At 35.6% G+C, this 24943-nt stretch overlaps 1 protein-coding gene across 20 annotated transcripts in view, besides 1 other annotated feature; it reads right to left on the minus strand.

Annotated features, from left to right (window-relative positions):
- CDH18 (cadherin 18) overlaps positions 1-24943 on the minus strand; it is a 1104418-nt gene that overhangs the window by 369615 nt on the left and 709860 nt on the right. The gene's annotated exons all lie outside the window — the stretch shown is intronic.
- Positions 18050-18631: an enhancer, noted in NCBI's record as "OCT4-NANOG hESC enhancer chr5:19859069-19859650 (GRCh37/hg19 assembly coordinates)". NCBI's record gives its function as "activates a minimal SCP1, AML or CMV promoter by ChIP-STARR-seq in primed H9 embryonic stem cells {active_cell/tissue: H9 hESC(primed)}" and the evidence as "EXISTENCE:reporter gene assay evidence [ECO:0000049][PMID:30033119]".

The raw sequence follows: 24943 nt of genomic DNA on the forward strand, positions 1-24943 counted from the left end.
TCAGCACAAACTGAAATGTAGATCTGAATAAATAACAAATTGACATGACAGTATAATTAATTTATAATACTGAATACAAATAATTGGTTACAGCATGATTCTCTTACACAGTTGAGGAAAGATGCTACACAGATTTGGTCACGAAGGAAAAAAGTCACATTAGATTCAAGAGCACGGCATTTTTCTCTGAGTATTTCGCTCCTTAAATGAGGGTTAGTAATAGTGCTTACTTCACCATTGTGCAACAATTGTGTAGGATTAGAGTAATTGGAATTTCACTTTTATCATTTGACAAATATAAAATTTATGTTTTCAAATATTTTCTGAAAGCAAAGGTATCCTTCCCTCTGATTTAAATCAAAACAACTTCAAAACTCTCCTAAAATATAAGAGAGAGCAATACTATTCTAGCTTCAAAATGGCAAGAGCATTGGAAAGAGAGTCAGAAATCACAGGTTTTATTTTTTGATAGTTTACTTACTATATTAATTTATGTGAACCATCTCATGTTTTTCAGTCTCACTGCCCTCATTTATTAAAATTTGTGACTGGAATAACTGTATTTAATATTCTTTCCAGCATTTGTAATAAATTATTTTAATAAATTTATATTAAACTTTTTATTTCCCAAGAGATTCTTAATTTTCAAATCATGAATTTCAAAAAAAAAAAAAGGAAACTTTATCTAGCTTTTCTTCTTAGAAGCCAAGTTGTTGAAGACATAGAAGGTGTTGTTATTTTAATACTTTCACACCATTTGGTGTGATTTTCAAATAAAATTAACATCTTTGCCCTTCATGCTAAGTTGTTTAACAAAGCTTAATTTATGAGTACAAGGTGAAGAAAGTGGCTTTTGCAATGCATTACAGATATGTAAAATGAGTGTTTTCTTTACAATACTGATTGTGAGTCATTCCAAAAATATATAAATGCATTTTGATCTACATATGCTTTATATGTTTGCGAATCTCAATTATGACAATTATGAAAATAGATATATACTGTGCTATGGAATAAAAGAACAAATGTAAACATCACTACAGCGCTTATGGAGATAATTTTATTTACTATATAATAAGAGGACATAACTTCAAATATAAAATTTTTCTGCATTACTGCAAGAAATCCATCTCTGCATAAGTTAGAAAAAATTGAAATGCAAATAATAAGAAAACAAACCAGTGATTGAGACCAATACAATAGAAATATGTGGTAGACATTTTCCATTTTATGACTGAGCAGTGTTCAAAGACCCTTCTGCTTTCATGGAACATTCCAATATGTGAATTCTGATAAACCGAGCCCTGACTTTCACCACTAGTCACTTAGGCACCAATATGGTCTGGCTCTGTGTCCCCACCTATCTCTCATCTTGATTTGTAATCTGAATTGTAATCCCCATTTTGGGAAAGGGACCTCATGGGAGGTGATTGGATCATGGGGGCTGCTCCCCCATGCTGTTCTCTTGATAGTGAGTAAGTTATCACAAGATCTGACGGTTTTATAAGGGGCTCTTCTCCCTTCACTCTGCACTTCTCTCTCCTGATGCCTTGTGAAAAAGAACATGTTTGCTTCCCATTTTGCCATGACTGTAAGTTTCCTGAGGCCTCCCCAGCCATGTGGAACTGTAAGTCAATTAAACCTCTTTGCTTTATAAATTTCCCAGGCTTGGGTATTTCTTTATAGCAGCATGAAAATAAAATAATACAATACATTTTACCAGTAGAGTGGGGTGCTGTTATAAAGATACCCAAAAATGTGGAAGTGACTTTGGAACTAGATAACAGGAAGAAGTAGGAACAGTTTGGAGGGCTCAGAAGAAAATAGGAAGATGTGGGAAAATTTGGAACTTCCTAGACACTTGTTGAACGGTTTTGACCCAAACACTGATAATGGATAATGATGTGGACAACGAAGTCCAGGCTGAGGCAGTCTCAGATAGACATGAGGAATTTTTTAGGAACTGGAGAAAAGGTCACTCTTGCTATGTTTCAGCAAAGAGACTGGTGCCATTTTGTCCGTGTACTAGAGATCTGTGGAACTTTGAACTTGAGAGAGAAGGTCTGGCATTGGAACTTATGTTTAAAAGGGAAGCACAGCATAAAAGTTTGGAAAATTTTCAGCCTGATCGTGTGATAGAAAAGAAAAACTAATTTTATGGAAAGAAATTGAAGCCAGCTTGAGAAATTTGCATAAGTAACAAGAAGCCAAATGTAATTCACCAAGACAATGGAGAAAATGTCTCCAGGGCATGTCAGAGACCTTCATGGCATCCCCTCCCATCTAAGGCCCAGAGTCCTAGGCGGGAAAAAAATGGTTTCCTGGGCCAGGCCCAGTGCCTTGCTGCTTTGTGCAGTCTTGAGACTTGGTACCCTGCGTCTCAGCCATGGGTAAAAGAGACCACGGTACAGCTCAGCTTGTTGCTTCAGAGGGTGCAAGCACCGAGCCTTCCACCAAGTGCTTGGAAGCACCAGGTGGCTTCTACATGGTGTTGGGCTTGCGGGTGCACAGAAGTGAAGAATTGAGGTTTGGGAAACTCCACCTAGATTTCAGAGGATGTATAGGAACACCTGGATGGCTAGCAGAAGTTTATTGCAGGGGTGGAGCCCTCATGGAGAAACTCTGTTAGAGCAGTGCAGAAGGGAAATGTGAGGTCGGACCCCCGACATAGAGTTCCCACTGGGGCACTGCCTAGTGAAGCTGTGAGATGACAGCCACCGTCTTCCAGAAACCAGAATTGTAGATCCACCAACAGCTTGCACTGTGCATCAAAAAAGCTAAAGACACTCAATGCCAGCTGTGAAAGCAGCCAGAGCAGGGGCTTGTATCCTAAAAAGCCACAGGAGTGGAGCTACCCTAGGCCATGGGAGCCCAACCTTTGCATCTGTGTGCCCTGCATGTGAGACATGGAGTAAAAGGAAATTATTTTGGAGCTTTAAGATTTAATGACTGTCCCGCTAGATTTTGGACCTGCATGGGGCCTGTAGCCCCTTTGTTTTGGCCAATTTCTCCCATTGGAGAAGAATTCAAAGATTGATTCTTATTCAAAACTATTCCCATTTCAGGGAGCATTTATCCAATGACTCTATCCCCATTGTATCTATGAAAGAACTAACTTGCTTTTGATTTTATAGGCTCCTAGGTGGGAGTGACTTGCCTTGTCTCAGATGAGACTTTGGACTTGGACATTTGAGTTAATTCTGGGAAGAATTAAGATTTTTCAGGGACTGTAGGGAAGGTACAATCGTGCTTTGAAATGTGAAAAAGACAAGATTTGCAAGGGGTCAGGAGTGGAATAATATGGTCTGGCTCTGTGTCCTCACCCAAATCTCATCTTGAATTCTAATCCGAATTGCTATCCCCATTTTGGGGGAGGGACCTCATAGAAGGTGACTAGATCCTGGGGACTAGTCCCCCATGCTCTTCTCATGATAATGAGTTGTCATGAGATCTGATGATTTTATAAGGGGCTCTTTCCCCTTTGTTCTGCAATTCTCTCTCCTGTAGACTTGTGAAAAAGGGCATGTTTGTTTCTCCTTCCACCAATATTGTAAGTTTCCTGAGGCCTCCTTAGCTTTGCGGAACTGTGAGTCAATTAAATCTCTCTCTTCTATAAATTACCCAGTCTTGAGAGTGTTTCTTTATAGCAGTGTGAAAATGGACTAATACAGGAACCAAATACTTTCTTTCTATATCCTTTCATCAGAAATTTCATCAGTGACAGAGGCACATAAATGATATGCTCAAATGATGGAAAGATGTAGGAACAGTTGAGAAATTTTCCACAGCAGTGGCAATTATTTCAAGACCCAAGTATAGTGATGGTGAGCTCTGCAGATATGACAGACAGAATCCAGTGGCATAAATTAAAAGGGTTCTAGCTATGTTGTTCTAGTGGCAAGTACTTGATATAATTTCTAGCTGTCTAAATTCCATTGTTTCCTACTTCTCCCTAAACCTGATTTGTAAACACCCTCATCAATTCAATGGCTATCCAACACAGTTCAAACAAATTTATTTGTTGCTTTTTATGCCCAGAATTGACTTCTGGTGTTTGAAACATTTTAAAATTATACATATACTGTACATTACATGAATAAAAACCACTAGCCCTTACTAAGAAGACATGCACAGTGTTAAATATTACCAAGATGTTAATGAATATTGTCTCTTAAACATTTTCAGCTTCTTTTAAAAAATATATATCCAAATTATAGTTGTTAAGATAGTTTCTTTGTATCCAGTTCATGGAATAATTCAAAGAATTAAAAAAAAATAACAAATAAACATAAATGATTCTGTTTCCTTGTTGGTTGACCCCAGGATATTTCCTAATTTCTCTTGACTTTTTTCTTTGACCCATTGGTTGTTCAAGAATGTGCAGTTTAATTTCTACATATTTACAAATGTTCTGTTTTTATTTCGCTATTTATTTCTACCTAACTTCCATTGTATTTGGAAAAGACACCAGCTATCATTTTACACTTCTTGAATTTGTAGACTTGTTTTGTGGCCCAACACGTGATCTATCCTGGAAAATGGTTCATTTCTACTAGAGAAGAATGTGTGTTTTGATGCAGTTGGGTGTAATGTTCCATATATGTCTGTTAAAGCCATTTGGTTCATAGTGTTGTTCAAGTTCTCTGTTTCTTTATTGATTTTCTGTCTGCATGTTCTACACATTATTGAAAGTTTAGTATTGACAATTTCTACTATTATTGTATTATTCTCTATTCAGTTCTGTCAATATTTGTTTTATATATCTAGGTGCTCTGATGTTGGGTGCATATATATTTATAATTGTTTTTTTTCTGCTGAGTTAATACATTTATAATTATATAATGCCCTTATTTGTCTCTTCCTACAGTTTTTAACTGAAAGAATATTGTGTATGATATAAGTATAGCTTTCCTTTGCTCTCTTTCGCTTAACATTTGCATGGAATATATATATATGTATTATCCTTTCTCTCTCAACTGATTTGTGTCCAGAAATCTAAAGTGAGTCTATTGTAGAAAGCATATAATGTGAGCTTATTTTTATTCATTCAGCCACTATTTTTTGATTTGGAAATTTAATCCATTTATATTTAAAGTAATAATTGAGAGGGAAGAAATTTCTATTGCCATTTTGTTATTGTTTTCTGTCTATCTTGTAGCTATTTTTATCCCTGTTTTCCTCTCTTGCTACCTTGCTTTGTGTTTTTTTAAATTTCTTTTAATTACATTCTTTGACTTCTTTCTCCTTTTTATTCATGTGTCTTCCACAGTATCATTTTTTGTGCATACAATGGGACTTACAGAAACCTTCTTATAGTTATAACAATCTATTTTAAGCTGATAACAAATTATATTCAATTAAATATAAAAACTCTACACTTTTACTTCACCCACACTAACATGCTTTATGTTACTGATGTCACAAATACATTTTTATGTTGTGTACCAATTAATATATTTGTTATTTTTATACTTTTGTCTTTTACCTTCATACCAGAATTTAAAGTGATTTACACAACACTGTTACATCATTCCAGCATTCTGTTTTTGCCTATATATTTACCTTTACTATCAAGCTTAATACAGTTGACCCTTGAACAGCATAGATTTTTAACTATAAAGTTCTATTTATTAGTGGACGTTTTTCAGCCCATTGTGGAGCTAAAATATTCAGGGGATGTGAAACCCATATATAGGGAGGGCCATCTTTCATATATGTGGGTTCCACATGACCAACTGCTGGACTTGATTACATGCAGATTTTGGTATAAACAGGGGTCCTGAAACTGAACTTCCATATATACTGAGGGGTAGCTGTACTTTCATATATTTTCAAATTGCTGTTTAGCATGTTTTCACTTCAAATAAAAGACTCCTTTTGGAATCTTTTGTAAGACAGGTCTTGTGGTAATGAACTCCCTCAGTATTTAGTCTATGAAAATCTTCATCTCTTTACTTTTGAAGGTCAGACTTGCTGGATATAATATTTTTTGTCGGCAAGATTTTTTTTCTTTTTCTTTTACCTTTAGCACTTTTAATATATTATCCTGTCACTTCTGGCCTTTATGATTTCTGCTTAGAAATCTGTTCATAGTCTTGTGGAAGTTCTCTTTCATGTGATGAGTCACTTTTCTTTTGTTTCTTTCCAAATTCTCTTATCTTTGACTTTTAGTAGTTTGATTGTAATGTATCTTAGCAAGTTTTGTGTTTAAACTATTTCAAATTCATTGGGCTACTTGCATCTATTATAGCTATTCCCTTTCCAATGTTTTGGAAGTTTTCTGCCATCATTTCTTTAAGTAAACTCATTGATCTTTTCTCAATTTCTTATTTTTATTGGAATCTCACAATGTGCATACTGATCTACTTGATGTTGTTCCATATTTTTTTCCTTCAGTGTTTTATATTCTCTCCATAGACTGAATAATTTCAAATGGCCTGTCTTTAAGTTATCTGATTCTTCATTCTTGTTCAAATCTGCTATAGAACTTTTGCACTAAAATTTTCAGTTTAGTTGTATTATTCAGATCCCAAACTCTTGCTTCTTTTTATATATTTAATCTCTTTGTTGATATTCTTATTTTGTTTATGCATTGTTTTACTGAGCTTCTTGACATTTTTAAGATGGTTATTTTGAATTCTTTGTTATATATTTCATATACTTCCATTTTTAGGGTTAGTATCTAGAGATTTATATGCCTCTTTTGATTGAGCCCTGTTTTCCTGTTTGTTCATTTTCCTTTTACCTTTGTGTTGGTATCTGCGTATTTGAAAGTCAGCCACCTCTTCCAGTCTTTACAAAATGGTTTCCTACAGAGAAAGACTTTCTCCAACTAAACTAAGATTCCGCAGATCACTCAAACTTTCTCTGTAGACATGTCTTTTGACTTATGTGTGTATATTCCTAATTAGAGGAATCTTCTGATTTCCCTTTTTTGAGATCTCATAATTTCTTGCTCTTTCTGGTGTCTATATGGTGTACCGCACATCCGCTGAAGAACCAGCACAATGCTTGACTCTCTTTTGTTCTCATTGGCTCCCATGCATCCAGATTATGGTGGGCCCATCAGTGCTTTCACTGGGCTATACAAAAGGCAGACCCTTAGGCAGCCCCTTGATAAGGGTAGAATATTTGACATACTCTTTACTCTTCTCTTTATCCCTTGAGGCAGAGGCCACTGAGTTGTATCAGCCTCTGTCTTCTGTGGCACAAGTCTTCTGGAGCAGGCAGGAAACTGCCTGGTTATTTAATTTTCTCATGAGCCATTAGGCATGAAGAGTACATCCAATTCCATCAGTGCTCTGAAACAAGTGAGACAAAAATCAGTCTCTCAGGTAGCTTCCATGACAAGCTAGAATGTTGGACACATGGTCCAATATCTCTCCTTCCTTAATAGGTGTGAAACCAGGAGGTTACAGTTTCCTACAGACCACATGATGCTTTACCAGGGCGAGGTATTATGATGAGAGGGTGCCACACTTTCCTATCAGCTTAGATTCAGTTAGTTTCACACTCACCTGATATGGAGGAGGAGCCTCTTAATCAGTTTCTAAATTTATCTGAAAGAGAATTGGTCCATGTATTGTTGAAATAATGTCTCCATGGGATGTAAGAAGAGCCTGGGGCTTTCTATTCTACCATATTGTTAATATAACTCAGGATAATGGATTTCATGCTAATTGAAATAGGAAGACACTGCAGTGGGTTGAGAAGTGTATAACATAAAATGATTTTAAAAGTCATTCTAGCTTCCATGAGGAGAATGCAATATAGGGCACCAAGAAGATTAAAAGAGGTAATGTAGGACTGGTTTGAGGACTACTGCAGAAGTGCAGGTGAGAAATGATGGTAGTGAAGACAAAGATGATAGCATATAAAATGCTATACATATATATCATATAAAATGCTATATATATAGATGATAGCATATAAAATGCTATATATAGCATTTTATATAGGCTATATTATATACATATATGTATATAATGTGTATATATACATTTTATATGGGCTATATTATATATATGTGTATATATACACACACACACATATATATGTATATAATATAGCCTATATAAAAGCTAAGGCTATGTGTTAAATTTTATGATAGATGGATTAAAAGAAGAATACAACTCACAAAGTCTCAGAAAAGGTAGGAAGTAACAAATAAATCTACTATTTACAAATAAATAGCTCTGTCTTCAAATTTAGTAAATGTTTGCTATTCATAATGGATTTGAAAGGAAATGTGGAGCTTGCAGCCAATTAAACTAGTCTCAGCTCAGTGGAATGGTCAGGACTGAAGGTATTGGCATGAGAGTCAGCAGGATACCTTGCAAAGTTAAATTCATGGAGTAACAAGATCATGTTGGCAGAGATTAACGTAGAGAAGAGTATAGGGCATAGGGCACAGTTCTGGGCATTAAACATCTAGAGTTAATAGTAGAGGATCAGGAGGCTATAAATAAAAAGAAGAAATGTGCAGTGAATGGGGTTCGGAAAGATGGGGTAGCATAGAAGCCTAGAGAACAATGTGTTTTAAGGAGGAAAGAATTGAACCACCAATTAAATCAATATATTTATTCATACAATACCCAGATGCCATAAATGTACGCTTTGTGTTGAATTTGTTAATATTTATGTACCAATGAAGTATACAAATTAGCATTTCAAACATATATATATAAACATATATATACACGCATATATATATAAACATATATATACACGCATATATATATAAACATATATATATACACGCATATATATATAAACATATATATATACACGCATATATATATAAACATATATATATACACGCATATATATAAACATATATATACACGCATATATATAAACATATATATATATATGAACATATATATACACGCATACACACACACACACAGAGGCACTCTATATTCCATATACTCCACTAGATGCTTAAAACCATTATCTTATTACAGTTGTTTTATGACCATTTTTGAGTTGAAGATACTAAGATATAGCATTGAAGTCATTTGTCTCAGATGAAATTTGAGTACAGTTCTGTCTTAGTCCAGCATCTTTTTCTAACACAGGATTTAAATTGACATGGATTTGAATCATGATGCTTTTGTAACCTTGTGTCATGGCCTTTGAGACATAAGTTAATATCAAAAAATTTCAGTTCCCTGAGTGCTGAATGAATATGACAACAGTATTTAAGTCATAGATAGAATTATATGAAGTGAAAGAAGATAAAAGACTGATAAATCTTCCTGATTAATAATAAGTCCTTAAAATGTATGTAATATTTTTGTTATATAGATACACCATTTCAGCATTCGACTCATATTTATTTTTATTACATGGCACTTTTTGTCCCATTCGTAAAATGTAAAGATAAAAATGAGGCACGAAATTTAATACCTTTTATTAAAACTAGTATACAATCTTAAAATTATAAAGTAAATGTATGCATGATTACAATCAACTACAAATAATGTTTAGGGTAGATGTGATTTTTATTTCTACCACATTATCATTATCTTTCCACCAGCTTAGAAAAATCAAAGTCATGCATATTCAAATGTCTTCTAATAGCCTCAATGAGATAAGAAGCTTACAGTTTAAATGAGTCTGATTCTCCTGTCCTTGCAAACTAGGATAAACTCTAGGAACAACTTCCATATAGTGAAGTTTCTTATATGACCGATAAATTGTATTTTGATAAATTGATCTGTGGCAAACAGAAAGAAAGTAGGGAGATTGTAGAGGACCTTAGTCATCTATTTTGCTTTCAGTCTCCCAGAGCTATAAAAGGAAAATTAACCCTAATTGTTTAAGGTGTTACTAAATTTTGAGATATTAATAGAATGATATACATAAACTAATTTTCTGAGGTGGCTTAGAAAAGTAACAGGTTTTTACTTTTACTATCTGAGAACTCATTGAGATTTTATTTGCAACGTGCTGTACATATATCCAGTTCTTACATCATCCTGTTTATGCTACTTTATAGCTTTTAACAATTAGGGAACAAATAAGGCAACATATTTGCATAACATAGTCATTCAAAAGACTGAATATATCACCTGGTTGCAAAAAGGTCCTGGTGGATATTCCAATGAATTTTTATTGGGTATTAAGGTATAACTTTGTTGAATATTAGTGAAAAGTAATAATAAGACTCACAAAAACAACAAAACAGTATAATGTCCTCGAGAGTATTATTAGATAATTTGAAGATCCATTTACACGGGGAATTTGCCATGTTGTTAATATAACTGCTGCACTGTGGTCCTATAAAAATAAAGGCTTTCCAGCTGATATAACTTTGTCGGGAATATTTAGAAGGTTTTTATATCGGCTTTTCCAGAGACTTAAAAGTATATTCTCTAGGTCTATATTTTTGTTCTTAAAATATTTATTATTATGTTTCTATTATTTGCTCTTATTATAAAAAATTTACCAGTTTATGTAATAAAATAAAAAATAAATAACAATAAAATTGAATATAAAAAGAAAAGCCAAAAAAAAAACAAACCCAAAAAACCCAAAATTCCCTTCTTCCCTTCTACCTTCCAAATGAATATGCATATATAGTCCTGGAGGTAAATAAATAAAATAATTAACAGTTGTATCAACAAGCAGAGTAAATGAAAGAAGAAAACTAAACTGATCATTCTTTACACTGAGTCATATTAATACTATCTAACAGTTTTTTGCCACAATTATAAATGCATTTTATGTCTCTTGTATACTTAACTTATTTTTTACTACCACATACCACATATTGTATGAATGTAAAATAATTTAATATTCAATATCTTACTGGGGAATATATATGTGTGTGTGTATGTGTGTGTGTGTGTGTATATATATATTCCCCTTGAAAAGCGTATATAGTGTCAAGTAGACAATAATCTCTTTTGGTTCAAAAGATTAACTTAAAATCTGTGTGTTTAAACTCCAGAGAAAGCCAGCCTTTTAGTTCATTAGCTGATAAAATAGAGTTTTCTATGTTACACAAGAAACAAAGGAAATGTATGTATAGAATGTGTTTCTAATAGCATTGTTTTGTGTACGTGGATAATTAAATGCATCTCAGAAAAGGTCAAATAGGAATAAAATGGATTATTTGCAATATCTCACTTGTATCATGTCAACTTCATAAATTACCAAAATAGAAGAAAAATTATTCATTACACAATTTGTCCTTCCTGGAGAGACTATCTGGATTGACCAGGTGGTAGATTAACCAGGTAGTAACCAGGACTTTGGGGTCAAGCTGATTTCTGTTTCAGTTTTGGTTCACCACTCATTATTAGTTGACTGGTGTTACCTAAGCAAGTCAAACTTCTGCCAGACTCTTGAGTTCTCATGCTGGAAAAGAGCATAATGACAACTGCTCAGTATGAATAACTAAATTGTTACATGAGATATCTCCAAGAGCCTAGCCTGCATCAGTCTCTGAAGTGTACTTAGTAATAATATTATTATTAGCATCATCAGTAAACAGTAACCGTTCTCATTGTTTACTTTTGGGGAGGGCACCCAGACATTTGTGAAGCATTCGCTTGTAGGTCTGGGCCATGAGGATTTATATGTGTGCATGTACATCCAAAGAGAAAGTCATGAGGTTTCTAAAGTCCTTCTTAGGTTTCTAAAGTTCAATAGCTTTATTGAAACTCTTACTAAATATTCTCTACTTTTCATTATCTGGATAGTATAAGCCATGGCATACCATGATGTCACTGTTTTGGTGATAAATTAGGGAGGCTGCAAATATTCCCTTTTTATTTTCTCACTGAAAACTTATTGAGTTGTCCTGTTCACTTTTACGAAAACCCATACTCTACCTACACATCCTCCAATAACTGATTTTTAAAAGTGAGAATTCGAATACTGGTTTCTAGGAATCCATTTGGCCAAACAGAACACATGTATTCTTCCTATATAATCCAGAGCAACCGGTGGCCTTCAGGAGTATTGAAAACTGCACTTATAAATGGAATTATCCCAGAAACATCTGGTATGAAATTGGATGTGTACATCAGCATTACTTCCATATCCCACTGAATTTTACTAAAAAGCAATGAGTACAAGATTGTGAAAAATAAAGAATAAAAAAAATACTTGCAATGCCTCCTCCAGTAAAACTGTGAGAGGCATGTGCATTAGTCTTTTGGGGATGTCATAACAAAACACCATAGTGTAGGTGGCTTAAATAACAGAAATGTATTTTCTCACTGTTCTGGAGACTAAAAGTCCCATATCAAGGTTCTGGCTGACTTGATTTCTGATAAGGTCTCTCTTCCTTGCTTGCAGATGGCCACTTGTTCCCTATGCCCCACATGGCCTTTCCTCAATGTATGTTCTCGGGCAGAGACAGAGGAAGCTCTCTGCTGTATCTCTATTAAGGACACCAATGCTATTAGAGCAGACTGATCTTATGACTTCATTTAACCATAATTACTTGCTTAGAGGCCCCCATTCCAAGTACAGCCACCCTGGGGGTTCAGCCTTGGGCATATACATTTGTGGAAAACACAAACACTCAGTCCATAATGAGACGTATTCTTACAATCTAAGTTACATGTAAGGGCTTCCAAAAGCTACAGAAATTAACCACAGTAGTTTTTATTGTGCCACATGGAACAAAATGAGGGCAAGAAACCACTGAAAGGGACTTCAGAAGCAACTGAAGTTATTAGGAGTAAATCACAGCAAAAATACACTTTCTAAAGGTGAGAGTGCATGCTCAGGTCTGAAACCTGTGTGCAGTTGGAAATTAGGTGAGTGGAGGAGATATAAGTTTTGCTGCAAACCTTTCTGGACCTAGCTAGTATCGTTCACCAGAGGAGGCAAGATTGCACCCACAATAACACAAACACAGCAGCTTCACTGAAAGCAATCTCTCTCTGACAAGACAGAAAATGCTTACATTGTGTAAACCAACTGATCTGGACAACTATAAATATATGAGGGTGGATCGTGGGAGAACTCCTTTTTTAGCCTATGAAATCATAAAAGAAAAGATTGTTAAAAACCACTTCATAAAAACGGAAAATGTCTACGTGGCACAAATGTGATAAGCAAAGTAGGCAAAGTGCTGAAGAATGCCACCCTACAAAATCTGGCAGTGTCCACCCAACAACTCACAGAGAAGACATGCAGGGCTTTTAAACATATCACAAATACCATCAACTTTACTCATGAGACATGGACATTAGGATAATTTTGGAAGGGCTTTTAAACATATTCATGAATACCATCAACCTTACTCATGAGACATGGATGTTAGGATAATTTTGGCATTCCATTTCTCACTCAACAGATTATAAAAAATCTAAAGGTCTGATATCTGATTTGGCAAGACTGTGACCAGAGGTGTGAACCCTTACACGGGGCTTATAGTTATATACAACAGGCCAATCATTTTGAGGGAAATCTGTCTATTTCTATCAAAATTTCAAACTTTATATTTGATGACTAATAAATTCTACTTCTAGGAATCTGATCTACAGATTGCTAAAATATATAATTTCAGTAGAAAACAAGAATAAAAGGTGGTCAGCATGTTCTTTTCATGTCTCATGAAGAACAATTTTTATAATATTTAATCATACTCATGGAAAATGACATATGTAGCTATTAATGTAATACTTAGCACTATGTAAAATGGAAATGTTATGGTACCATAAAAGTTCACCTGTTAACATTTACAGACGACTAGTAAAAAGGATTACAGTGGGTCCATGTAATAGAATACTAGGCAGCTCCTTATGAATATGGAATGAGCTCCAAGACATTGTTTAAAGATAACAAGTTTCCTAGGAGTGTATAGTAGGCTACTATTTTTATTTATTTATTTTAACTTTTTAATTTTTTTAGCACCCTAATGTGCTACTTAATACTAGATCGTATTCATTCTATCTAACTGTATTTTTGTATCCATTAACCATTCCCCCTTTATCCCCCTCCCCCCACTATCCTTTCCAGCCTCTGATAACCATCATGCTACTCCCTATCTCCATGAGTTCAGTTTTGTTTTTTTTTTTCTAGTTCCCTAAATAAATGAGAACATGAATATTTGTCTGTCTATGCCTGGCTATTACAACTAACATAATGTCCTCCAGGTCCTCCAGTCCCACTCATGCTGTTGCAAATGACAAGATTTCATTCTTTTTTATGGCTAAGTAATAACCGATATTGACTAGGTGTGTCCTAGGACTGAACGTACCATTCATTGAATCTCTGCATTGTTCCCCGAACTTTATTTCTTATCTCTCTTTCATCTTGTTCCCCTGCTCTTCTGTTTCCTATGTGTTTATAAGAAGATGATTTAAAATGAATCACCTTTCGGGTACCAATGATTCACAGACTTTCAGAGCTGGGAAAGACTGCAAGGCCCATCTAGTGGGCTACTATTTTTAAATGAGATAAAATAGCCATTTATATCTCCTTCTTTATGCATAACCATTTTCAAAAGAATATATGATAAATTTATAGTATCTTTGATTTGGGGGTGGATGAAAATCAGGGAGAGTGCATTGGATAGGAAGGAGCCTTTTCTCTGTGTACATTTTATTTTATTTTTTTTCTTGTTTTAAGCAATACATTTTTATTATCTATAAAAAATCAACAAATTTGGAATAAAAAGACTGTTTGGCACCTCCCCATCCCTCTGCTCACTCATCCATGTGTGTAAATAATTCTGAACAAATGACAGAAAATGGAGCAGCTGGTGCTTGAGGTGGTGAGAAGCTCCCAGCTGTGCTTGATCCTCAAAATGCAATATGTTTTCCAGTAGTAATGGTTTAATAATTATTACCCTTTTTAGCTACAACAGATAAAATTGCATGTTGATTTAATGCCACTAAAACAAATAAGAGCTTATCAACTATTATGTAGATTAAGAAGTTACTATATTTGGAAAGTCAGACTTGAAACAAAGGGAAAAAGACTATCTTTTTCAAAATAACTCATTTAAGATATTTTCAAGGTGGTTTTTAGAAAAAGGGAAGGATTTGGAAGAAAATGGCAGAAAAGACAGTTATTATTTTCTCTATTGAGAGAAATTCCATGTGGTTAGTTAAAGCCAAGGGAATGCTCACAGCAAAAGACTTCTCCTAATAATTATCTAGAGCTTCTACTTTGTTTCAATAAACACGTTAAGTGAAATCATCACATTTCTCAAAAGAAAGAGCAATAAAAAGTAACTTGAGTCAGCGTGCATGCTTTGGAACTGTGCTACTTACATTTTGGCAAGCAGCATCAGCTTCAGCTGAGAGCTGATTGGAAATGCAAATTCCCAGGCTCGATTCAAGACCTACTAAAACTTTGAAGATAGGGCTAGGTGTCTGTGTTTTTCCAAGTTCTACAGTTGATTATGGTACTAATGTTTATAATGTACTGCCCTAAAATTTTATACACCCAAGATGACAGTGTACCCTACCTGTTTTGATGAAAAATTATGAGCAATATTCCATCAAGAGAATATAAAAGACTGGGCAGATGTACAAATTTGCATTCTAATTTCTAATGATGATGGATTACACATCTTTCCAATATTAGATATCCTTGACTTACTCTGGCTTCAATGTTGCAGTAATGGATAAAAAGATTTGTAAAGTATCACTGTTATATGTTGAAGTCTAAATCTCCAGTACCTCCGAATGTGAACGGGTTTAAAAATAAAGTCTTCAAAGAGGTTATCAAGTTAAAATGAGGCTGCTAGCATGAGCCCTACTTCAATCTGATGAGTGTTATAAAAAGAAGGTATTTGTTTTTCTATGTAAAGAGGCAGCAAAAAAAAAAATAAAAATCTGCAAGCCAAGTAGAGAAATTTCGGGAGAAAACTTCTTCGGGACCTTGATCTTGGACTTCCAGCTTCAAGCACTGCGAGAAAATAAATTTCTGTTGTTTCGGCCACCCACTCTTTGGTATTTGTTATGGCAGCCCTAGCAAATGAACACACTCACTGACTCGATTTTTTTTTCTTTCTAAAAGTAATAAAATAGTTCCAAATTAGAAACTTGAGGCAGGTTGGGCAAGATCACTCACGATTGTAATCCCAACACTTTGGAAGGCTGAGGCAGAAGGATCACTTGAGGCCAGGAGTTTGAGACAAGCCAGGGCAACATAGTGAGATCCCATCTCCACAAAAACTTGAAAAGAAAATTAGTGAGGTGTGGTGGTGCATGCCTGCAATCCAGCCACTTGGGACCAAGGCTGAGGCAGGAGGATCACTTGAGCCCAGGACTTTGAGGCTGCAGTGAGCCATGATTGTGCCATTGCACTCCAGCTTGGGCATCAGACAGAGACCCTGTCTCTAAAATAATAAACGAATACTAAAAAAAAAAAAAAAAGTTGAAGCAATGATTTCTGTCACTAGTCACAACTGGAAAGCATACAATTTAAACAGTGTGATTTTGTGTGTGTGAGGCCAATTTACCACTTACAAGAGACGTGACCATAGGCTAGTAAATTGACTTATTTGCATCTTAACTTCTTCAGTATAAATGATGATAAATAGCTGACACAGACTGGATGTTATAATCATTTAAAAAATAATGCCTTTAACACACATAGTACAGTAGTTGAGACACAGACATAACACAGACATACTCAGAAACAGTCATATATATGTCTTGCTTGGTAGAATGTTAACAAAAAAATATAAATCAGACTAGTAGGGAAGTAGCATTCAGGATCAGGTTTTTAAATAACACTGCATTGTGAATCATGACTTTCTTTATGATAAATAAGTATATAAACTGAATATCTGACCAGCTTAACTAAGGTATCAACAACAGAATATATGTTAATAAGGCAATTTCCAAATTCCTCTAAGTGTCTCTTAAGCAAACTTAAGAAATTCAGACTCAGTGCTACATTTTATACCTCAGTTAGATTAGGGAAATAAAAATTCTACATGAAAAATGTTATTTTCTCTGTTAAAGAAAACCACTTTCAAGTCAGAAATTATTTTTAAAATCTTGACCAATTTATTTAAAGAGCATAAATTGACAAATACCTAAAAATCTATCTAATATTAAGTGGTATGATATTTAGGTTAGTATAATAGTCACTTGATTTCCTTGTTTGTGAGAATTCAAAATCTGCAGCAAGTTCACATTATCACTGCAGAATTCTCCTGGCTTATTCATTGCCGATATATGATAATGTTAACTCAAAGCAAAGTACATTTTAGGGAAGCATGGACATTTATCAGTACATTTAAGATGTATATTGGTTTGGTCCAGAAAGGCAGGACAACTGGAAATGGGGGCTTCCAGGTCCTAAGCAGATTTAAAGATTTTAATTCACAATTGTTTGAAAGAGTTATTATTTAAAGACCTGGAATCAATAGAAAGAAATGTCTGGGTTAAGATAATGAGTTGGGGATACAGGTTTCACAGCCTTCAGAGCTCTTATCAGACCTAAAAAGTTGCTGGACCCAGTTATTCTCTCCCAGATCAGGAAAAAGACCTGCAAAGGGATGTCTAGGTTTGTCATAAACTATTTTAGGGACTTTTTGATAAATTAAATAATAAATCAAGTTGTGGCTTGATAGCGCCAATATAATTGCAGATCAGGAGCATATAAACGAACTCAGAAATTATGTTTTAGTTTTTTTCCTCATGGGTATTGTATTAGGAATCTCTGGTTATCAGAACTAAGCAGATTTATACAATTAGTAAAGTCTATGCTGTGAGAAAGTGAAGATAAAGTTTGATGAACATTTCAAAATTAATTGGTCCTGTTTTAAGTTATACTATATCAATCCATGGTTCTTACCAAACTGGAAAATGTTCTTGCACTAGAACTCATTTATTTGATCTAAAATGAAATTATTAAAGACAAACAGTGCAAATATTAAAGCAAAAGATTATTGCAATATCACAAAATGCAGAAAAACTCATTTGTTAGATATTACTTTTTTCTATTAATGCTACTTCAAAAAGTATACAATATATTAGACCTATTAAAGCACAATGAGCATACAACTAGGGTTGCCTGATAAAATGTAATGTGTACAGCTAAATTTAAACTGAGCATGAAAAATGAAAAAAAAACTATTTTATTGAGATATTAATTATGTATAAAAAGTGGCTTGTATTTAATGTGTACAATTTGATGAGTTTACAGAAAAGTATATACCCAAAAAAACCATCACCAAAATCAACGCCATTGTAAACCACAAATAAAATTTTAAGCCCCACAACTGACCGATGGATGCTCACCTCAGCCAAGGGCATTCCAAAGTTAACCTGAAAAACTAGTTCAGGCCATGATGGGAAGTAGGGGTGGGACGTGCCTCATTATACTCTCCTCCCTTTGGAATTCAGGCACAGTTGGGTAGCATTAATATTAAAATAGAGATCTTAAGACTGACAAAACAGACTTTTGGTAGCAATAAAACACCAAATTCCAGCTGACCCTAGTATAGCATCAGATGACAAATACCAGGCCCTGAAAGGAATCAAAGTATTTCACCCCCAAATATATTTCTATGACATATTCTGAAATAACCCTGAAAAGCTGTCTCTTGTGGGGAAAATTCACATTCTGTAGAGAATCTCCTTCCCTTTCCAGGTCTTTTTCCTGATCTAGGAGAGAATTAACTAGGTCCAGCAACTTTTTAGGTCTGATAAGAGCTCTGAAGCCTATGAAACCTGTATCCACAACTCATTATCCTAACCCAGACATTTCTTTCTATTGATTCCAGGTCTTCACATAATAACTCTTTCAAACAATTGCCAATCAAAATCTTTAAATCTGCTTAGGACCAGGAAGCCCCCCATTTCCAGTTGTCCTGCCTTTCTGGACCAAACCAATATACATCTTAAACATATTGATAAATGTCCATGTTTCCCTAAAATGTATAAAACCATGCTGTAGCCCAACCACCTTGGGCACATGTTCTCAGGATGCCCTGAGACTGTGTCTTGGGCCATTGGTCATTCACATTTGGTCCAGAATAAACCTCTTCAAATACTTTACAGTGTTTGACTCTTTGTCACACCATAAACATATCCATCACCTCCTAAGGTTTCTTTCTGTCTTATTAATTTACTTGTTTGCTTTGGGTGTGTGTGTGTGTGTGTGTGTGTGTGTGTGTGTTTAAGAGTATTCTTAAGAATAAATGTATCCGATTAGGCATTTCTCACATTTTACTCCTAACTGGAACTTTATAGCAATCTGTTTATGGTCATCCATTGAATAATTTTAAGTGATTCCAACCATTGGCAATTTAAATTCATTTTTTCCTGGAATTGAGAACCCTCAGAATATGACTAAACAGTGAATAGCCTTATTTTTTAATATTCCTCAACCAGACCCTTTGCTCTGTCCATTGCATCCAGTGTTGCTAATATGAGCTGTGATCACTTTGATGATCACATATTTGCTTATGTTTTATCCTTTTCTTATTTTCATTCTACATCTCCAAATCCTTCCAAGTTTATCTCAAACTCATCACTTCTAAATAATCTTCCCTTATTTTTTCTCATTGCCTTCTTTTCTTCTTCTTCTTTTTTTTTTTTCCTATTATGGCACTTTTTGGGAATTTCCATATACTTGCAGATAGTTTTATTTTAGTTCATATCATTTACTTTTTAAAAAAATACCATTTTTATATTGGTCTGACTTGTCCCTCAAATATATAATATACTTTAAGGTACATAGTATATTTATGCTTCAAGGTTCTGTACATGAATTTTTAAGTTGAAAGTTTTTTCAAAGACTTAGACCAATATTTTTCAGTATTAGTGTTACATTAGCTTAAGTTACTTAAACATCCCACTATAATTTATAAATAAATTAACTTCTTAATAATGATAATTACCATTAAACATGATTCTTGCGGAAAGAGATACTGAAAAAAAGTGAACCTAAATACACATAACCGAAAATATTCTTCTGAACATCTTTTATTATACTTAGCATACAATTTAAAAGAAGAAATTGTTTCCTAAATTACTTGTTTCTTTTTCACTCATAATTGTCTCTCTAAATACCTCTAAGTTTGTCTAGTAAATTTTGATGAAAACCAAAAGTTCATTCCATCTGAATGTAGGACTAAGATTTTATTCTATATCTCATGAATGCATGAGTTGAGATAACTAAAATAATAAAGAAAATCATTATTTCATCATTTTTAACAGAAACAAAGTATACTATCTTACAGAACGTTATTAAGTGTTCCCATTGAGGACCTAGATTATTAGCAAGTGAAGGTCTCAGTGCCTCATGCATTTCTGTACAAACTTGCATATTCAGTAGTAGTAATTGCCTCCCATTGGACAGAGAGAATATTTATATAAATTAACTATTGGACTTTAATTTTTCCTTTGGCATCAATTTAGGTGCTGTAAGAGGTACAGATGGGTTTTTTTTTATATCTGGGGACAGAGAACCAGGCTGAGGACAGGAACAGGCAAAAGCCCCAAGTGGTGTACCCAGGAGCCGGGAGGAGGCTAGGCTGGGTATACCAGAGGGGGCTGTGTAAGAAGACAAAGTCCAGAGGTAAGAAGGGGCAAACAGAGAAGGATCCCAATGTGAACTTTGCTTTGGTTTTGTGTGGGATGGATCTGAAGCAGGGAGATGACATCATTTGCTTTTCCTTAGGAAGTCTTTGGATTTTTGTTGAGAATAAAGAGGGACAAAGGCAGAAATGTGGGAAACAATTGACAGAGTAGAGAGAGTGGTACCTTGGACTTGAGATAATGAGAAGGGTCAGATTCTATATATATTCTAAAGGTCAAACTAAGAGAGCTTATTAGTAAATCCAATATGGGGAGTGAAAAAAGAAGATGATTCAAAGATGGCTCCAATAATTGTGAGGTGAACAACTGAAAAAATTGTGCTTCCAATTATTAAGTTGTGGAAAATTTCTGAAAGTGAAGGTTTTCTTTATAGTGGGTGGGAGGAAACATGAAGAGTTCAATATTCTACATGCAAAAATTGTGCTATTTGACTGGGTATTGAAATGATGAGTGAGTAGAAATCCCATTTAGAACTAAGGGTTCAGAAACAGTTCTGGCTGGAATGATACATTGGTGCATTACCAGAAGGAAGATGATATTTGAATCTTTGAAGCTGGATAATACATTATCAATGAATTCGACATAGGTGGAAAATGAAGAGAAGCCCATGTGATCAGTAGAAATATGTATATCAGGGTAGCCCAACAGAGCAATGAAGAACATGCCCATGGAGGAGAGCAGTCACTATTTCAAATGTTGGTATTAATCTAATAAGTTGAGAGTAAATTATTACTATACATTTGATATGAAACAAATACATTACAGAACATTCAAAATAATCTAATTAATGATCAATTCCTTTGTTTGAAATGTTTTTATATGTTTGTAGCACTGAGGAAAGTGTTCTGTCAGGTATCTCACAATTCTTTTGCACTATATTTTATTATCTCAAAAACACACCTTTGTGTCTATAAAATTAGGAAACTGTATCAACTGTTCCTGTTCATTCAATCCCTCAAAAGCTGTGATGTATGTCAAGTTGAGCAGCGGTCTTCTGTTAGTACAAACATACGATTCAAAGCCACCAGAACAAGGTAATATACTATCCCACCAGAGGTAAAATCGTAATGTTACATTTTACTGAAGGTCATTTATGAAATAGGAGGATTCTCACCTAATTGTGAACAGCTTACATTATTTAACTTCTTCTTGGGTAAACATACCTCAGTACTGCAGGCAAAATGGTATAAGCACAACAAAACCTCAGGGTTAGACAGAGTGTGAGTCCTGTCACTTAATAGAGGTGACTTTAAGCAAGAAACTTAAGCCTATCTATATTCATGTTTCCTGAATGAAGAATTTGCTACTAACCACAGGTCGTAGTCCAAAATAAAAACACAAACTGGCTCCAGCCAGTGGGATTTTATTTTTTAAATCAGGTATGGTGAGATCAATAGACGAGGAGACACCTGACCCTGAAAAGACAGTTTATTATGCATAGTTGCCAGGAGAAGGGGGTATGCCAGGCCAGCCCTGGCAAGGTCACATGAGAGAACACCAGGGTTGGTTGGTCACAGGCAGAGAGAAAGCAAGAAAAACTGTAGGAAAGATTGTACTGTGGTTTTTTTAACGGGGGAAAAAATGGGAGAACAGGGTAAGCAGGAGAAACAGATTTAGGATTGACTAATTTGAATAAATTTAGTGGGCTCCAGGGAATAGGGGTTGTCCCTGGTTGTCTTATGCCTGGCCCTGAGATAATTAAGGTAGGGAAAGAGAAACTGGTGTTACCCAGTGTGAGAGCGGGATAAACTATGTGGGTTGGGGAATTGGTTAGTTTAAGTATAAGAGGCAGAGAGTATTTTGCTTTCTCTAGAATCCATTAACCCTGGGAGGGGCTATCCCTTTCTAGCCAACAATGTCCGTGATGTCAAAATATCAGATACACAAACTAGAAAACAAGGTTAACGCAGTGGGGAAGTCAGTGTCCCTTTCCTATTGACCCAACACACTACAGGTGAGTGAATCCCAAATACTGGCAATCTCTTCCACACTGAGCTGTACTTAATATCTAGATTGTCAGTATTCTGAGGATCTCATTAAGCCTCCTGTCAAATTCCCCATGGTGCTGACACAGGGGAGAGGACAGTCATTGCCTCATCCTCCTCCCCATGACACCGTTAATTGGGCTTGACCCTGAACTTTCTTGTGCCCATGCTCAGCCCCCACTAAGAGAAACTGCAATAATAGAACATGATCCTCCCTTCTCTATCCACCAATGCAACCTGGTTATTGCCCCTGGCAGCAGGTGGCAGTGGCCCCAGGATGCAGAAGGGAGGCATAAAGCCTAATAATCAGGTCACCAGAGAAAAGAGACTGGGCAGCCACCAACCCAGGCAAGAACAACATAGGGAGGCTGTGAGAGGTGAGACTCACTGTGAGGAGATGATCCAAATCCCAGTGCGGGCTCCATTACCCCATCTGACTTCACTTATAAAACACAAACTCGATGTGGAGAAATAGGAACACTTTTACACTGTTGGTGGGACTGTAAACTAGTTCAACCATTGTGGAAGTCAGTGTGGTGATTCCTCAGGGATCTAGAACTAGAAATACCATTTGACCCAGCCATCCCATTACTGGGTATATACCCAAAGGACTATAAATCATGCTGCTATAAAGACACATGCACACGTATGTTTATTGCGGCACTATTCACAACAGCAAAGACTTGGAACCAACCCAAATGTCCAACAATGATAGACTGGATTAAGAAAATGTGGCACATATACACCATGGAATACTATGCAGCCATAAAAAATGATGAGTTCATGTCCTTTGTAGGGACATGGATGAAATTGGAAATCATCATTCTCAGTAAACTATCACAAGGACAAAAAACCAAACGCCACATGTTCTCACTCATAGGTGGGAATTGAACAATGAGAACACATGGACACAGGAAGGGGAACATCACACTCTGGGGACTGTTGTGTGGTGGGGGGAGGGGGGAGGGATAGCATTAGGAGATACACCTAATGCTACATGAGGAGTTAATGGGTGCAGCACACCATCATGGCACATGTATACATATGTAACTAACCTGCACATTGTGCACATGTACCCTAAAACTTAAAGTATAATAATAATTTAAAAAAACAACAACACAAACTCAAAGATAACACTCATAAGACTTTTCACAGAGCATTAAACCTCAGTTGCAGAACCCTTCTGATCACAGAATCCCATGCGATCATCCTGGTCACACATGTGCAAATCTTGGCCTGGATCTTGGGACTTTTATGCCACACCTCACATCCTCTTGGCCTAATTTTATTCTGGCTCCTGTAAGGCAACCAGTTGTGGTCAAATGTAATCCAAGCAGCATCTTTCTTTCAATGCCCAGCATATATCTGATTTTCTAGCTAACGAATTTTTTGCCACTCTTACATGTGACCCTATGGGAACCAGCTCAGTGATTCTGATACATGCACAAATTTGGATGTGCAAGGGACTGCACAACCAACGACCAATGAGGAAACATTAACTGATGGGAAATACTTCCTTCTTTGGGTCCCTGGACAGACAAGTCTGAAGAATTTCCTCCACAATCACCTAGCTCCTCAATGGGTGAAACCTCTGCTGCCCACAATGACCAGATGCACAGACACCTTTTTACTTGTCTTTCTTTCTGCCCTAGGTCATTCTTCCTAGGGCCCTCCCAAGTTCCTGAGGATGATTTCGCTTTACAAAATAAACCGTCTGCATGCAAGCCCTTAAATAAAGCCACACTTGCTGTGGGAACTCTGAATAATACTGTAAATAAATGAGTTATTTGGAAGAATAAATGAGATAATAGATGTCAAATACCAAGCATGAGACCTGGCAAATTATAAGTACCTCAATTTTGTGAGTTCTTGATCCTTCCTTTCTCTTTCAACTTGAAAAGCTGCTTGATGTACATTTTACAACAAGATGCACAAAAAATATAGTTTTGTTACTTAAAAAAAACCTCAATCTCTATTTCAATATTGAATTATTCAAATGCTGGTAAATTCTATCCGGGCAAATTTAAATAGTCATTTCAGTATTTTACTCTTCTAGCTGTGACAGGTGGGGGCGGTGGAGGAGTACCAAGAGTGTCAGTACCCAGGAAGTCATCTCTCCCCTACAGAGACAACCATCCCTGCTTGTTCCCACTGAGAATCCCACATGGCAACTCAGTCCTAGCACCCAGGACCACCCAGGTGCTTAATGCTCATTAGCATCTCTGGGCTACTTCTTTGCCCCTTTCAGGGGTTTGGGAAATTCAGTTAATCTCTACCAGCTCTCTTGAGCTGCAAGAGACTGGGGAAGAGGGCGGTTCCCTCCAATCCTCTTTGTTGTTTATGTAATACTGCCATTTATTTTCTCTTGCTGCTAGGGTATGGTGGTGTTTCATGGACAGAACTTGTTTCCCCAGGTTCTAA

Source organism: Homo sapiens, chromosome 5 (genome assembly GCF_000001405.40).
Source record: "Homo sapiens chromosome 5, GRCh38.p14 Primary Assembly".
Classification (NCBI taxonomy): Eukaryota; Metazoa; Chordata; class Mammalia; order Primates; family Hominidae; genus Homo; species Homo sapiens.